Source organism: Homo sapiens, chromosome 5 (genome assembly GCF_000001405.40).
Source record: "Homo sapiens chromosome 5, GRCh38.p14 Primary Assembly".
NCBI lineage: Eukaryota > Metazoa > Chordata > Mammalia > Primates > Hominidae > Homo > Homo sapiens.
In genome coordinates, this window is record NC_000005.10 from 315926 (window position 1) to 332535 (window position 16610).

The following is a 16610-nucleotide window of genomic DNA, read 5'->3' on the forward strand; positions in this document are numbered from 1 at the left end:
TCTACTCCATGAGGTCAACTTCCTTGTCCAGGCCGCAAGCTCCCAATTCCATGAGGCCTTCCTCACCCAGGCCTCCACGGCCAGGCGCCCAGCGACTTCTCCCTCGCCTCATGGGCACCTGGACTCAGTGTCCAGTAGCTGCACCCACCCCACCCTGGGAGCTGCCCTCACTCCTCCTTCAGCCTTAGGCCTGTGAGGTCTCTGTGCTTGGGGTGAGGGCAGCTGCTGCGGCCACCCTGCAGCCCTCCCAGCCACGTCTCCAGGCCCTTGCCCGTGCTGTCCCCTGTGCAGTGGGCAACCCCCACCCCACACCTGCAGCTTCTCTGGCCTCTGGATTCCTACCTGGGTCAGGGAAGCCTGCTACTCTGGAGGAGCTGTCAGCCCTGGTGAGACACCTGCCCCCAGCACATGTCTCCATGGATGATACGGGCCAACAGTTGATACCAAGGCCGATGTGCTCATCCTGTGGATCAGCTGCCGGGGAAGGAATGTTGTGTGTGGCGGTTAGCTCCATACTCCTAGAAAGCAGGCGAAGGCCAGGTGAGACGGAGACTTTCATAGAGAAAAGGTCAGATTGTGGATGATTTTCCTTCCTTCCTTTTCACAGCAATGAGAGGTTCCTCTGATGGAGATAAAGTGTGTTTCTCAGGTCTCTGGTATGCTCAGGTGTGGCAGGTTCACAGGTGTGAGGTACACTCAGGTGTGTGGTGCAGGTACCCTCAGGTACTCTGCACGTGGCTGCCATGGGGGCTCCTGTTTGCAGGCAGCTCGGGGAGGCTGCCTTGGAGAGGGGCCTCCATGAAGACTCACAAGAACAAAAGCCGCTGAAAATTCCAGAGCAGAAGTTCTTCAGCAGAGGGTGAGGAGGGCGGTGGGGCCGCTGCACCACACGCTTGGAGGACCAGCAGGGGTAGAGCGCTGGACAAACGCATGTCAGGCCGGCCTGCTGGCAAAGGAACCCCTGGATGCAGAGAGCCTGTTGGGCTGGTGGGCTGTGGCTGTTGGGAGGGACATTTCCCCGGGGAGCTCCCAGCCATCAGAAGTCAAGGGAGGGAGGCGGTGAGGAGCCTCTCGAAGCAGAAGGTGTGGAGGGGGGACTCCCCTGCTCTCCTGGCCGGAGTCACTGATACAAAACTGGGGGTCCCTGGAGGGCAGTGAGCTCACGAGTTGTGGTGGATTCCTTGTGGAGGGGGTGCCAACCCGCAGGGAAGCAGGGCTGCCGTGCCCCCTGCCCAGCCACACTGCCAGCACAGACCCCATCCTCAGGCGCCTGCAGGGAGGCCACCCACGCCTTCCTGGGTGAGGGAAGCCCCTGAGCTAAACCTCACTGCACTCTGAGGCCCCAAGGGCCAGGCAGCTGCACACAGCCTGGGCCACGTGGGGGCAGTGCGGCTGCACCACGGAGCTCTCGGGAGCTGCTGACTGACCGGGAGGACCTGCCCGACACAGCCATGGGATTTATAGCCGCAGAGAGAAGACTACAGAGAGACGGGCCTTCGCCCTTTCAGCTCTCCCTTGTCAGGCAGGCTGTGCCCTGTGACCCTTCAGAGCCTGGGTTTGGGGGTGGAGGGGGTGGACAGCTGACCAGGTGCCTGGCGCAGGCCCAGTGTGGTGAGGCTGGGTCGCGGAGGCCAGGCCAGGCCAGCGGCCACGACCACCCACCAGGGACCCTCAGCGTCACGACCCCGGTCCCAAGACCCAAGACAGCAGGACATGGGGGCACAGCCATCTCTGGGGGCCTCTCCTTCCCCCCGCTCTGGGTCCTCAGTCATCAGTGCAGACATGGAGGTGCAGGTGCACGCCGTACACCCTCACCTGGGGCCCCTGGCCCATGCCTCCCCACCCTCCCTACCCTGATCTCCCCCCACAACCCTACACCTCCCCGGACAACCCTGCACCTCCCCCAACAGCCACCCTGCACCTCCCCGCCACAACCCTGCACCTCCCCCAACAACCCTTCAACTCCCCTCTCACCTTGCACCTGCCCCTCACCCTGCACCTCCCCCCATCCTGTACCTCCCCCCTTCACCCTCCACCTACTCCCAACCCTGCATCTCCCCCCAACCCTGCACCTCCCCACATCCTTCACCTCCCTCCTCACCTGGCACCTCCCCCCATCCTTTCCCTCCCCCAATCCTTCACCTCCCCCCTCCCTTCATCTCCCCCCTCACCCTCCACCTCCCCCCCGCACCCTGCACCTCCCACCCTTACCCTGCACCTCTCCCCATCTTTTACCTCCCTCCCACCCTGCATCTCCCCCCAACCCTGCACCTCCCCCCATCCTTTATTTCCCCCCACCCTGCATCTCCCCCCAACCCTGCACCTCCCCCCATCCTTTACCTCCCCCCACCCTGCATCTCCCCCCAACCCTGCACCTCCCCCAATCCTTCACCTCCCCCCTCACCCTCCACCTCCCCCCCTCACCCTGCGGCAAGCAGAGAGCTGACTCCAGCACAGTGAACTTGGAATGATGGAATGCACCCTGGAAGCAGCTCTGACGGGCGCCACCGTGACTGTGCCCAGCAGGGAGCTCCCTTGTGGTTTTTAACAAAAGACAAAATTCCCCAGGTCCTTCTCTGTGCTACAGGAGAAACTGGTGTGGGAGAGGGAACCCAGGCGTGACCAGGGAGAAACTGGTGTGGGAGAGAGAGGGAACCCAGGCGTGACCAGGGCTGCCCAAGCGGCTCCCTGTGAGGCATCAACGCTGGAGACACAGCAGTCATGGGGAACCCGGGGAACCCGGGAAACCCAGCCGCCATCAGAGAGCCAGAGAGCCGCAGGCGCCTGTGCGGGGTCCTGGCCTGGCCCGAGGGGTCAGCACACCCCTGTCTGCCTCTGAGGTCAGGGCCCTGGGGGCTCCTGACCTGGCCTGCCTGTGGGAGGCAAAGGTGTGGCCAGGAGAGGACAGGAGGGGGCAGTCACAGTCACCACTCCTGGAGGCCCATGAAGAGCAGCTTTGCCCCCACACTTCTGTGAAGCCAACTTGGGCCTGTTTGGGAGGGGCCTGGCGCTGCAGCCGGCCGTGGGCACCTGCCATGTGGCGGTCCACTGGAGGCCAAGTCCAGCTCATATGGCTCTGGGGACCCACCGCACCAGACTCCAGTGTGGGGGTACCCGGAGCTGGGGGTGGGTCCTCGGAGGCTTCCAGTCCTGCCCCAGCTGCCATCCCTGCCAGGTGTTAGCGCCTCTGGTTCAGAGTCCCGAGAGGACCAGTGGCCCAGGAGAAAGGGGTGTGTCTCCAGCTGCTGGGAGTGTGGGTGGGAGCCAGAGGGTTCAATGACACTGGGGACAGCAAGTCCGGACTGGAGGGAGGAGACCTCCTGAACAGGGTCCCCAGCACAGAGGCAGAAAGGAGACTCTGTGACTGGGGGTGTCAGCTGCATCTGGACCTTCGTGGTGGGGAGGGAGGCACGCCCAATAGCCCGTCTGAACGGGAGGTGGCTCAGGGATCCCCCATTGTGCTGGTGGGGTGCCCAGAGACTCCAGGACTCCACGTGGGGCTCTGCCTGCTAAACCCTGAGACTTTAGGGGCAGTGGCTCCCACGGCAGGGTCATCCTTTTTCTGCACAGTCCCACTGGCTGCCCCAGGTCCTGCAGAGACCTGAGACTTTGGGGACAAGCACAGGGGACAGGTGGGCGTGGATGGCCTGTGCCGGTCAAGGGCAGTGGGAAGGAAGGAGGAGCAGTTTCCTTCTGTACCCAGGAAATAGAGTAACAAAGTGTCTCATTCCAGTTGGTTCTGGTGGGACAGGGTAGGTGGAAGGGAACCCGTGCTTGCCCTGAGACATGGGGGTGCTGTCTTCCCATGCAGGGGGACTGCGGCTCACCACCATCACATTCTACCCACAGGTTCTTATTTTAACAGATCACAAAGGTACTATGTGCTTCTTGCAAAAATTTACAGGAATTGTAGACTTTTCAAAAAGTAAAAAGAAATTAAAGTTCACCTGTTACCTCAGAGTTATCCAGCTACACATTTTCTGTGCATAATTCACTTTACAAAAATTGGATCAAGATAAAACTAATGATTTTTAAAAATACAGCAATATAGTTGCACATTGTTCCATATCAAAAAATAAATGTGTGCACCCAGGGCTCCTGGCTGTCTCAGTGGCATAGTGGCTCATGCCTGTAATCCCAACACTTTGGCAAGCCGAGGTGGGTGGATCACCTGAGGTCAGGAGTTCGAGACCAGCCTGGCCAAGATGGCAAAACCACTATCTACTTAAAAAAAAAAAAAAATTAGCCAGGTGTGGTGGCGCGCGACTGTAATCCCAGCTACTTGGGAGGCTGAGGCACGAGAATCGCTTGAGCCCTGGAGGCAGAGGCTGCAGTGAACTGAGATCGCACCACTGCTCTCAGGCCTGGGTGACAAAGCAAGACTCTGTCCCAAAAAAGCCCATTTACTCAGCTCACATTTTTGAGCCTCTGCTATTCGACAGGAACCAGAGGTGAGCAGAGCCGACTTGGTGACCCCTGGGGACAGAGCGGCAGAACTCAGCAATTCTGGGCTGCCCTGCAGGAGCTACACCCGGGGAGGGGCGGTGGCCACTTGGGGGCAGGGTGGGCTTCTCAGCTGCGCCCACCCCACCTTGGGAGCTGTGTCTGGAAAAGAGACTTTTCCTGAGCCGACAGCAGACAGCGAGTGCAAAGGCCCCAAGGCCCGCACGCCTTATTCAGAGAACAGCAGGAGGCGCGGGGCGGGTTGGGGGCGTCAGGGAGACGGGGTTTGACTGAGAACCTGGGGGCGCCAGTGACAGCCTCGGCCGCGTTGCTGAAAACCGACCTTGCGGGATGAAGAGGGCGCGGTTCCCCCGGCTGGGATGAGGACCGCGGATGCTGAGGAGCGGACTCCAGGGACCACCGACTCCATGGCCGGCCCCAGCGAGGGCGAGAACGGGTGGAAGCCGGCCAGGGTCTGTGGAGACGTCAGGGTGCGAGGCCAGGCTGAGGTGTCCCCAGGGATCCCCTGAGGGTACAGGGAATTCAGCCAGGGCCTGCGCGCCCGGACGGAGGACTAGAGGGGGCCAAGGACCACCGGGAGGGGGAAGGAGAAGGCGCAGCCCGAGGTCGGAGGGGCCGGCGGGCGCGCAGAGGGCGCGGGGTGAGCCCTAAGGACCTGCAGGCAGGACCCTGCTCTCGGCCGCGCGGTCCCGGGTGCCGACCGGCGGGGTGGGCGGGGCAGGGGCACCCAGGGCCGCACACCTGCCGCGTGGGACCCTGAAATGCCCAGGACGAAGAACGTCGCACGGACGACCCTGCCGTGCCTGGCGCGCGTCCGCTTCCTGGGAAGCTCAGGATCCAAAAGCATCTTAATATTCTCTATAATTCGCCAAAAACCATGACTCCTTTTACATTTTCGAAACGACCTCATGGGGCAGGCGAGGGGGCACACGCTCTCCTCACTTTACCTGTTCGGGTCTACACCGCCCGGCTCTAGGGCCGGCAGCTCAGCACAGCCGGCCGCGAGCGCTGGGGAGGGGACGGGGGCGCAGGGAGAACCGGGGGACCCTGGGCGCACACAGACCCCAGGGGGAACGCAGGGCCTGGAGGGGCTCAGCGCGCGACCCCCGCCTCGGGGCACGGAGACTCCGGGGGATCACTGGGACGCGAAGGGCGCAGGGCGGACCCCAGGGGAACCGGATGGCGTCTCCGGTTCGCCAGGGCAGCTGGGGCAGCCGGACCCGAGACAGCCGGACCCGCGGGCGCCCTCTGCCGCCTCCCGGCCCTGGATGCTGCGGGGCGGGGCGGGCGGCTCGCGTGCCGGGGTGGGGCAGTCCCTGGAGCCGCCGCGGGTTCCCGGGATGCGAGCGCCGGCACCCGCCGCCACAGCTCCTGGCCAGGGCGCGCTGCCCCGCGGGTGTGCCTGAGCCTCCGCGCCCCGCAGGCCCTGGGTAAGTGTCCTGGGCGCCCCCGCAGGCCCCCGCCGCGTGCCGCCCGCGGTGGAGACGGGATGCGCTCCCGGGTGTGGGGCTGAGGGACGGGCGCCGGCGTCGGGACCCTCCTCACGCCGCATCCTCGCGTCGCCAGGCCCGGCGGCCCCGGGACGGGGCGGACACTCTGGGGTGCGGCTGGCTGGTCTCACTTAAAACTCGGACCTCGGAGGGAAGCCGCGGCGCGTCCACGGTTCGTGGTCCTCAGCGTCCCCTCGAGAGTGTTCTGAGCCTTCACTCCCCGGGCGTTCCGTGCGGGCCGCGCTCCCTGGGGCTGGGCGGGTGCGGGCGGCGGAGCGGGGCCCCGCTGTCGGGCCGAGGGCGCCAGGTCCGGGGGGCCTCACCCCCGGGAAAGGCCCATGTTCAGGCTTGGTTTCAGTAGCACCCAGTAGCGCTGAAGTCTTATTTTGAGCGGCCAGAATTCCCAGACCGGATGCCCTGAGAGAGCGATGTGGCGCCTGGAGTCCACGCTGGGACCCCTTCTGGGGAGGGGTCGCCATGGGCGCGTGACAGGCAGGGGCCACCCTCTGACCTCTTCTGCGAGGCCGGAGGTCAGAGACCTTGTGCAGAAGCGTCCCACGGGCCTGTCCCACGGGCCTGTCCGGCTGTGGCCTCCGGGATGGCAAGGGCAGGCGGGGAGGGGCTTCCTCCCTGGGCCTCCTGTGCGCGCGCACAGGCTCTCGTCTGCGGGGTTCTTGCAGAAGGGTGGGCGTGTGCGCGCGTTCTCCAAACGCCACCCCCACGGGGCCTCACAGCCGCCCCGGCCTGGCAACCGTCACCCATTTTACGAACGAGGACATCAAGGTAGGTCGCTCATCCAGCCTCTCAGAGCAAGTGACTGGCGGCGTTTGGACTCGGGCCGAGTGTGCCATACCCATCCCGCACAAAGCCGGGGCTCGATGCGGCCCCAGAGTCGCTGAAAAGCCACGAGTAACAAGAACTGGAGAACGTAGGATGCTGACCCGGCGGACGCCGCCGCCTGGGGAGCCGCTTCGACGGGGGGGACGCCACCGCCTGGGGAACGGCTTTTATTTTCGTTTTCTTACTTATCTGTATTCTCTAAAATGAACAGACACGAGTTTTACCACGGGAGAAAGGTTCTTAGAAAAATTCAGATTTCTCAGAGGAGTGCTGTCAGCTCACAGCCTGGTGGGGTTGGGAGGCCCCAGATGGCCCTGGCCGACCCCTCTGTCCCGTGTGGGACCTGCCCGTGAGCAGCACCCAGGAGTCTGTCGAGGCCCCACCCGTGGTCCCCGGCTGAGCCCCTGGCTGCAGTGGGTAGGGTCCTCCCCTGTCCCCCAATTACCTATGAGGCAGCTTCGACCTGTGTCCCAGGCAGAGAAGAACGCTGCCGTCAGGAGGCCGGGGACAGCTGAGTCTTGCCTCACAGGGGCATTTCTGTGGGGAGTTTGGTCCAGTCCAAAGGAGGCTCCATCTGTTGAGGTGAGTTCATGAGTATTTTGTAAAATGGAACAACCTATTGTAATAGCATCCCTCCTCCTGTATTTAGGCTAGGTATGGCAAGAACTGAGACACACTTCCCTGCCACCCCCTCGCATCTCTGCCAGTAGGGCCAGGAAGTTCAGATATGCTCAGGTGACCACCTGAACTCCGCGAGGCTTTTCTCTAAAGTATTATCAGCAACTGTTTCTCAAACTACTTTATCTTGATCCTTGTGCCAAATTATTTATTTCCTGCAACTGTGAGGCCCCTCCTTCATGTGGCCTGGTGTTCCCGGGAGCAGGCCTTGTGATCAGAGGGAGACGGCTTGTGGCTTAACAGGGTCTTCCCACCTCGTTCACCCGTGCTGGGTGCTGAGACGCCGGGGGAGGGGGAGGCAGCTGTGGTTCCAGCCGTCGTCATTTGCAATGCAGTTGGAGAGATGCCGCCGGGTGGCCCTGACCAGTGTTAAGTGGTTAATACGACACAGAAGCGGGAAAGCGCCATGTGGTCTGGGGTGATCAGGCATTGAAGGAGACTCAACGGAGCTCCTTGCGGAGGAGAGTCGGCTCACAGACAGGCAGGAATGAACAGGCCGATCTGCTAGGGGCTGATGACTCGGGTAGGAAAGACTTGGCGGCCCTGAAACACCTTGCCTAGCTCGCTCTTCCTTCCCTCCTTCCTTCCTACCTTCCTTTCTTTTTTTCTCTTTCTTTCTTTCTTTCTCTCTCTCTCTCTGTCTCTCTTTCTCTCTCTCTCTCTTTCTTTCCTTTTCTTTCGAGACAGAGTCTTGTTCTGTCACCCAGGCTGGAGTGCAATGGCGCTTTCTTGGCTCACTGCAACCTCTGCCTCCCAGGTTCAAGCAATTCTCCTGCCTCAGCCTCCCAAGTAGCTGGGACTACAGGTGTGAGCCACCACACTTGGCTAATTTTTGTATTTTTGGTAGAGACAGGGTTTCACTGTCTCTACTAAATGTTGGCCAGGCTGGTCTCGAACTCCTGACGTCATGCTCTCCCCACCTCGGCCTCCCAAAGTGCTGGGATTACAGACATGAGCCACCACGCCCAGCCGCCTAGCTGTTTCAATGCGATGAGTTATAGCCAAAGGTGCTTCCACTTGGAATTTTTTTTTTAATAAAAATATATTCATTTATATAAAAAAATTAAAAAAAAAAAGAACTGAGGCACAAGCAAAACCTGAAACTGGGCCAGGTGTGGTGGCTCACACCTATAATCCCAGCACCTTGGGAGGCTGAGGCGGGTGGATCACCTGAGGTCGGGAGTTCGAGACCAGCCTGACCAACATGGAGAAATCCTGTCTTTACTTAAAAAAATACAAAAATTAGCCGGGTGTGGTGGCCTATGCCTGTAATCCCAGCTACTCGAGAGGCTGAGGCAGGAGAATTGCTTGAACCTGGGAGGTGGAGGTTGTGGTGAGCCAAAGTCACACCATTGCACTCCAGCCTGGGCAACAAGAGTGAAACTCCGTCTCAAAAAAACAAAAACAAAAAACGAAAAACCCAAAACTGGTTATTCAGGGGGCACTGGCTGTGGGGAGGGGGTAGGCAGGCCAGCTCCTTGGATTTCCTCGGGGCCCCTCCCCCACACCGCCCACAGGGAATATTTATCTGCTTCTGGTGATTTTTACCAGAACCCTTGATTTTAGAACCGTTCCACAGCACTGAGCTGGAGACACCTGGGAGAACGTGGCTTTGCCCAGGCGTTGCAGGGCGAGTAGTCACTGGTATGTGAGGCTGAGGAGGGCAACGAGGCTTCCGTCTCAATTCCGGCTACTCGGAAGGGAGTTTGGGATTTTGGGGACAAGAAGGATCTGCACTAGCCCCACCTCTGACAACATCCCCTGCCCCGCTTCATCTTCCCAGCTGTCCCACCACCCCCCGACCCGCTCTTGCCCTGTGGCTCTGCACTCATTTGGGGACGAGGGTTGGTCAGGCTGGTGGTGCCTGGGCTCAGGGTCTTCTGGGGCTGGTGTAGGTCACCCTATCCCCTTTACCTTCCTTGACCTCAAGGGGTGGTCGAGTGGGTTTGCTCTATGCCCGGCCCACCTTGGGGTGCTGGGAACCGTCTCTGGCCTGTTCTCCCCACCAGACTGGGGCCAGGCTTGGGTGCGGCTTGGGAGTTTCCTGTTTGAGTCGAAAGGCCTTGCAGTTCTGATGGGATGTCCTTGCAGGCTGGCCTCCAGCCACCAAGTGCCCAACCTGGTTTCTGGGAGAAGTGCACTGGGCCAGACACGTGACCATGATGGAGACGAGGCTGGGCATCCCACAGCACCTCGGGGGGAGGGCTGGACCCTTCCGAAGCATCCGTCCCACCCTCCGCACCACCTCCACCCACCCACCGGCATCTGTCCCTGCTCCAATCTGCCATTTGCTTTCTTTCTTAACATTCCACATATTTTGCTTATATTTATTTGTAAATTTGTGTCCTATGTGTTACATGGTGTTTGTTTTTTGTTTCTTGTTTTCTTTCTTTTCTTTTTTTGAGATGGAGTCCAGCTCTTGTTGCCCAGGCTGGAGTGCAGTGGCGTGATCTTGGCTTACTTCTACCTCCACCTCCTGGGTTCAAGCGATTCTCCTGCCTTAGCCTCCCGAGTAGCTGGGATTACAGGCACCAGCCACCACGCCTGGCTAATTTTTGTATTTTTAGTAGAGACGGGGTTTCGCCATGTTGGCCAGGCTGGTCTTGAACTCCTGACCTCAGGCGATTCCCCTGCCTCAGCCTCCCTAAGTGCTGGGATTACAGGCGTGAGCCACTGCGGCCGGCCTCTTTGTATTTTCTCGTTGAGGCAAAATGCACATAACATCAAACTAACCATTTAAAAGTGAACAGTTCAGGGGCATTTAGTACATTGACGAAGTTGTGCAGCCACTGCCTCTCTCTAGCTCCAAAACCTCTTCATCGCCTCCGGCAGTGCTCACCCACCAGGCAGTCACTCCCCAGTCCCTGCTCCCAGGTCCTGGCCACCACGAACCTTTTTATCTGAGTTTGCCTACTCAGGATATATCATGCAATGGGGTCAGTGTGTGTCCTTCTGTGTCCAGCTTCTTTCACGCATCACAGCGTTTTTAGGGTCCATCCATGTGGCAGCACGTGCCAGGGCTTCCTTCCTTTTCATGGCTGAATAATATTTCATCTTATGAAGATACCACATTCTGTTTACTGATCCCTCAGCTGATGGACATTTAGGTTGTTTACATTTTTTGGCTACTGTGAATTATGATGGGCATTTGTATGCAGGTTTCTGTTAGAACAAATGCTTTTACTTCTGTTAGGTGTGTACCTAGGAGTGGAGTTACTGGATCATATAGTGATTCTGTGTTTAACTTTTTGAGGAAACACCACACTTTTCCACAGCAGGTGCACCATTTTACATTTTCACCAGCAATGCACCAGAAACAGTTCCAATTTCTCCATAGCCCCACTGACCCTTGTTATGTTCCATTAAAAAAAATGATAGCTGGCCCGGCGCATGGTTCACGCCTGTAATCCCTGCACTTTGGGAGGCTGAGGCAGGCGGATCACTTGAGGTCGGGAGTTCGAGACCAGCCTGACCAATATGGTGAAACCCCATCTCTACCAAAAATACAAAAATTAGCCAGGCGTGGTGGCACGCGCCTGTAGTCCCAGCTACTCAGGAGGCTGAGGCAGGAGAATCTCTTGAACCCAGGAGGTGGAGGTTGCAGTGAGCTGAGATTGAGCCATTGCACTCCAGCCATGGCAACAGAGCGAGACTCTGTCTCAACAACAACGGCAACAGCAACAAGAAGCCATCCTAGTCGTATAAATGGTATTGAATTATGGATTTTTGTTTACTTGCATTTCCCTAATGATTTACAGGGCTGAGCATGTTTTCATGCGTTGAACATTGTGTATCTTCTTTGGAGAAATGTCTCCTCAAGTCCTTTGCCCATTTTTTAAATTGTACACATTTATGGGTTCATGTGTAATTTTGTTACATGCATAGATTGCATAGTGATCAAGTCAAAGTTTTTAGGGCGCCCATTACCCAAATAATGTACATTGTACTCCTTAACTAAAATCTCATCAGCCGGGCCCTTGTCACCCCCTCACCCTTCCAGGTCTCTGTCATCCATCATTCCACTCACTACGTCCGTGTGTATACAAATTCAGCACCTACTTGTGAGTGAGAACACGTGACATTTGACTTTCTGTGCCTGGCTTGTTTCGCTTAATGACCTCCAGTTCCATCCATGTTGCTGCAAAAGACATGATTTCATTCTTTTTTTATGGCTGAATAATATTCAATTGTGTATATATACCACATTTTCTTTTGATTAATCCACTGATGGGAACTTAGGTTTATTCCATCTCTTTGCGATTGTGAATAGTGCTGCAATAAACATATGAGTGCAGGCGTCTTTTTGATATATTGATTTCTTTTCCATTGGGTATAGACCTAGTAGTGGGACTGCTGGATTAAATAGCAGTTCTATTTTATTTTATTTTATTTTATTATTACTATACTTTAAGTTCTAGGGTACATGTGCACAACGTGCAGGTTTGTTACATATGTATACATGTGCCATGTTGGTGTGCTGCACCCATTAACTCGTCATTTAGCATTAGGTATATCTCCTAATGCTATCCCTCCCCGCTCCCCCTACCCTACAACAGTCCCCAGAGTGTGATGTTCCCCTCCCTGTGTCCATGCGTTCTCATTGTTCAATTCCCACCTATGAGTGAGAACATGCGGTGTTTGTTTTTTTGTCCTTGTGATAGTTTGCTGAGAATGATGGTTTCCAGTTTCATCCATGTCCCTACAAAGGACATGAACTCATCATTTTTGATGGCTGTGGCAGTTCTATTTTTGATTCTTTGAGAAATCTCCATGCTGTTTTCCATAGAGGCTGTACTAGTTTACATTCCCGCCAATAGTGTATGAGTTCCCTTTTCTCTGCATCCTCACCAACATCTGATTTTTTTTTTTTTTTTTTTTTTTTTTTTTTGAGACAGAGTCTCCCTCTGTCGCCCAGGCTGGAGTGCAGTGGTGCAATCTCAGCTCACTGCAACCTCTGCCTCCTGGGTTCAAGCAATTCTCCTGCCTCAGCCTCAGAGGCACCCATCACCATGCCAGCTAATTTTTGTATTTCTAGTAGAGATGCAGTTTCACCATGTTGGTCAGGCTGGTCTCCAACCCCTGACCTCAAGTGATCCACCCACCTCGGCCTCCCAAAGTTCTGGGATTACAGGCATGAGCCACTGCACCTGGCCGTCTTTTTAATAATAGCCATTCTGACTGGTGTAAGATGATATCTCATTGTTGTTTTATTTTGCATTTCTCTGATGATTAGTGATGTGGGGTATTTTTTCATATACCTGTTGGCCATTTGTATCTCTTCTTTTAAAAACTGTCTATTCATGTCCTTTGCTTACTTTTTAATGGGATCACTTGGGTTTTTTTGTTGTTGCCATCGTTCAATTGTTTGAGTTCCTCGTATATTCTGGTTACTACTCCCCTGTTGGATGAATAGTTTGCAAATATTTTCTCCCGTTTAACAGGTTATATTGTCACTCTGTTTATTATTTCTTTTGCTGTGCAGAAGGTTTTTAGTTTAAGACCCATACTATAGTCTGTGGTGTAATTTGAAATCATGTAGTGATATGGTTAGGTTTTGTGTCCCCACCCAAATCTCATCCTGAATTATAATCCTCAGGTGTTTAGGGAGAGACCTGGTGGGAAGTGATTGGATTATGGGGGCAGTTTCCTCCATGCTGTTCTCATGACAGTGAGTGAATTCTCATAAGATCTGATGGTTTGATAAATGGTAGTTTTTCCTGCGCTGACACACACACCTCTGTCTTTTTTGGTCCTTATGAATTTTAGGATTATTTTTCTTTTTCTCTTTTCTTCTCCTCCTCCTTCTTCTCTCTTTTTTGCTTCGAGATGGGATCTTGCTTTGTCACCCAGGCTAGAGTGCATTGGCGCATAGCTCACTGCAACCTCGAATTCCTGGGCCCAAGAGATTGTCTGGCCTCTGCCTCCTGAGTAACTGGACTATGGGTGTGTGCCACCATGCCTGACTAATTTTAAATTAAAATATGTTTTTGTAGAGATGAGGTCTCACTGTGTTGTTCAGGCTGGTCTCAAACTCCTGGCCTCAAGCAGTCTTCTTGCTTTGGCCTCCCAAAGTGCTAGGATTACAAGTGTGAGCTACCATGCCCAGCCTGAGATTGTTTTTTCTAATTCTGTGAAAAATTACTTTGGTATTTTGATAGGGATTATACTGAATCTATAGATTGCCTTGGGCAGTGTGGTCATTTTAACAATGTGAATTCTTCTGATCTATGAACATGGATGTTTTCGTGTTTGTGTCATCTACAATTTTCTTTCATCAGTGTTTTGTAATTTTCCTTGTAGAGTTTTATTCTCAGGTATTTTTTAATGGTTATTGTAAATGAGATTGTCTTCTTGATTTCTTTCTCAGCTAGATCATTATTGGTGTAAAGAAATGCTACTGATTTTTATATGTTGCTTTTGTATTCTACAACTTTACTGAATTCACTTATCAAATCTAAGAGTTTTTTTGGTAGAATCTTTAGGTTTTTTTAGATATAAAATCATATTGGCAGATAGGAATAATTTGACTTCCTCTTTTCCAGTCTGAATGCCTTTTATGTACTTTCTCCTGCCTGATCGCTCTGGATAGGACTTTCAGTATTATATTGAATAGGAGTGGTGAAAGTGGGCATTCTTGTCATGTTCCAGTTCTTAGGGGAAATGCTTTCAACTTTTCCTCATTCAGTATGATGTTAGCTGTGGGTCTGTAATAAATAGCCTTTATTATTTTGTGGTATGTTCCTTCTGTGCCTAGTTTTTTGAGGATTTTTATCATTAAGGGATCTGAAATTTATTAAAGGCATTTTCTGCATCTATTGAGTTGATCGTATGGTTTTTGTCCTTGATTCTGTTTATGTGATGTATTACATTTATTAATTTGCATATGTTGAACCATCCTTGTATCCCTGATACAAAGCCTACTTGATTGTGGTATATTATCTTTCTGATGGGCTGTTGGATTCAGTTAGTTAATATTTTGTTGAAGATTTTTTTTGAGACAGGGTCTCACTCTGTCACCCAGGCTGGACTACAGTGGCACCATCTTGGCTCACTGTAACCTCTGCCTCCTAAGTTCAAGCAATTCTCATGCCTCAGCCTCCCGAGTAGCTAGGCTTACAGGTGCACACCACCATGCCCTGATAATTTTTGCATTTTTAGTAGAGACAGCATTTTGCCGTGTTGGGCAGGCTGGCCTCAAATTCCTGGCCTCAAGTGATCCACCTGCCTTGGCCTCCCAAAGTGGGATTACAGTGTGAGCCACTGTGCGCCGCGGAGGATTTTTGAGTCTATGTTCATCAGGGATATTGGTCTGTAGTTTTCTTTTTCTGTTGTGTCTTTGTCTGATTTTGGTATCTGCGTGATATGGGCCTTCTAGAATGAGTTAGGGAGCATTCTCTCCTACTCAATTTTTTGGAACAGTTTCAGGAAGATTGGTCTTAGTTCTTTTTTTGCATGTTTGGTATAATTCAGCATTTTTTTTTTTTTTTTTTTTTTGAGACAGAGTCTCGGTCTGTCACCCAGGCTGGAGTGCAATGGTGTGATCTCGGCTCACTGCAAGCTCCGTCTCCTCCCGGGTTCATGCCGTTCTCCTGCCTCAGCCTCCCGAGTAGCTGGGACTACAGGCGCGTGCCACCATGCCCAGCTAATTTTTGTATTTTTAGTAGAGACGGGCTTTCACCATGTTGGCCAGGATGATCTTGATCTCTTGACCACGTGATCCACCCGCCTCGGCCTCCCAAAGTGCTGGGATTACAGGCGTGAGCCACTGCGCCTGGCCAGTTGTGAGCTTTTCTTTTGGGGGAGGTTTTTAATTACTGATTAAATCCCACTTTTCATTACTTATCTGTTCAGGTTTTCTATTTATTCCTGGTTCAGTCTTGGGAGATTGTATGTTTCCAGGAATTTATCCATTTCCTCTAGGTTTTCTAATCTGTGAGCATATAGTTGTTCATAATAGTCTCTGATGATCTTTTGTATTTCTGTGGTATTAGTGTTTTCCTTTTTCATTTCTGATTTTGTTTATTTGGGTCTTCTCTCTGTTAGTCTAGCAGTCTCTATTTCGTTTAGCACTGCTCTGGTCTTTGTTATTTCTTTTCTTCTGCTAATTTTGGTTTGGTTTGTTCTCGCTTTTCTAGTTCTTTGAGGCACATAATTAGATTGTTAACTTGTAATCTTTCTACTTTTTTGATATAGACATTTAATACTATAAACCAGGGGTCCTCAACCCCCAGGCCTCGGACCGGTACCTGTCCATGGCTCGCTAGGAACCAGGCCAAACAGCAGGAGTGAGTGGTGGACGGGTGAGCATTACCACCTGAGCTCTTCCTCCTGTCAGATCAGCAGCAGCATTAGATTCTCATAGGAGCACAAACCCTATTGTGAACTGTGCTTACGAAGGATCTAGGTTGCACGTTCCTTATGATAATCTAATGCCTAATAATCTGAGATGGAACAGTTTCATCCCAAAACCATCCCTACCGACATCTGCAGTCAGTGGAAAAATTGTCTTCCACAAAACCAGTACATGATGCCAAAAAGGTTGGGGACCACCACTATAAACTTCCCTCTTAGCACTGCTTTTGCTATATCCCATAGGTTTTTAAAGTATGTCGTGTTTAATTTTCATTTGTTTCAGCAATTTTTAAATTTCCATCTTAATCTCTTTGTTGACCCAGGAGCATATTGTTTAATTTCCATGTATGTATAGTTTCCAGAGTTGCTCTTGGTATTTATTTATGATTTTATTCCACTGTGGTTTGAGAAGATACTTAATATAATTTTAATTTTTAAACATTTGTTGAGAGGAAGAGGAGGAGAAGCAGGAGGAAGAAGAGGAAAAAAAGAAGAAAGAAAAATCTGTTAAGACTTTTTTTTTTTTTTTTTTTTTTAAGGCAGAGTCTCACTCTGTTGCCCAGGCTGGAGTGCAGTGGCATGATCTCGGCTCACCACAACCTCCGCCTCCTGGGTTCAAGTGATTCTCCTGCCTCAGCCTCCTGAGTAGCTGGGACTACGGGTGTGCACCACCATGCCCAGCTAATTTTTGTATTTTTAGTAGAGATGGTGTTTCACCATGTTGGCCAGGCTGGTCTCGAACTCCTGACCTCATGATCCACCCGCCTCGGCCTCCCAAAGTGCTGG

General features: G+C 53.4%; 1 protein-coding gene and 1 long non-coding RNA gene across 4 annotated transcripts in view, besides 8 other annotated features; both read left to right on the forward strand.

The window, feature by feature from the left end:
- The window catches only part of PDCD6-AHRR (PDCD6-AHRR readthrough (NMD candidate)), a 166640-nt gene that overhangs the window by 44280 nt on the left and 105750 nt on the right, over positions 1-16610 (forward strand). The window lies entirely within an intron of this gene.
- Positions 2592-2891: an enhancer, noted in NCBI's record as "active region_22272". NCBI's record gives its function as "activates an Ori minimal core promoter by ATAC-STARR-seq in GM12878 lymphoblastoid cells {active_cell/tissue: GM12878}" and the evidence as "EXISTENCE:reporter gene assay evidence [ECO:0000049][PMID:35858748]".
- Positions 5001-5260: a silencer, noted in NCBI's record as "silent region_15862". NCBI's record gives its function as "represses an Ori minimal core promoter by ATAC-STARR-seq in GM12878 lymphoblastoid cells {active_cell/tissue: GM12878}" and the evidence as "EXISTENCE:reporter gene assay evidence [ECO:0000049][PMID:35858748]".
- Positions 5411-5900: a silencer, noted in NCBI's record as "silent region_15863". NCBI's record gives its function as "represses an Ori minimal core promoter by ATAC-STARR-seq in GM12878 lymphoblastoid cells {active_cell/tissue: GM12878}" and the evidence as "EXISTENCE:reporter gene assay evidence [ECO:0000049][PMID:35858748]".
- The window catches only part of AHRR (aryl hydrocarbon receptor repressor), a 116572-nt gene continuing 105750 nt past the window's right edge, over positions 5789-16610 (forward strand). The window contains exon 1 of one of the 2 annotated variants that reach the window (NM_001377236.1): positions 5789-5894. The gene's annotated coding sequence lies outside the window, so the exon portion shown is untranslated. Of the gene's footprint in view, positions 5895-6684; positions 6738-16610 lie in introns of those variants that run through there. The other variant, NM_001377239.1, reaches the window with a different exon arrangement.
- Positions 5991-6370: a silencer, noted in NCBI's record as "silent region_15864". NCBI's record gives its function as "represses an Ori minimal core promoter by ATAC-STARR-seq in GM12878 lymphoblastoid cells {active_cell/tissue: GM12878}" and the evidence as "EXISTENCE:reporter gene assay evidence [ECO:0000049][PMID:35858748]".
- Positions 5991-6592: a biological region, named in NCBI's record as "H3K27ac-H3K4me1 hESC enhancer GRCh37_chr5:322065-322632".
- Positions 6025-6592: an enhancer, noted in NCBI's record as "H3K27ac-H3K4me1 hESC enhancer chr5:322065-322632 (GRCh37/hg19 assembly coordinates)". NCBI's record gives its function as "activates a minimal SCP1, AML or CMV promoter by ChIP-STARR-seq in naive H9 embryonic stem cells {active_cell/tissue: H9 hESC(naive)}" and the evidence as "EXISTENCE:reporter gene assay evidence [ECO:0000049][PMID:30033119]".
- Positions 6381-6440: a silencer, noted in NCBI's record as "silent region_15865". NCBI's record gives its function as "represses an Ori minimal core promoter by ATAC-STARR-seq in GM12878 lymphoblastoid cells {active_cell/tissue: GM12878}" and the evidence as "EXISTENCE:reporter gene assay evidence [ECO:0000049][PMID:35858748]".
- Positions 6681-6800: an enhancer, noted in NCBI's record as "active region_22273". NCBI's record gives its function as "activates an Ori minimal core promoter by ATAC-STARR-seq in GM12878 lymphoblastoid cells {active_cell/tissue: GM12878}" and the evidence as "EXISTENCE:reporter gene assay evidence [ECO:0000049][PMID:35858748]".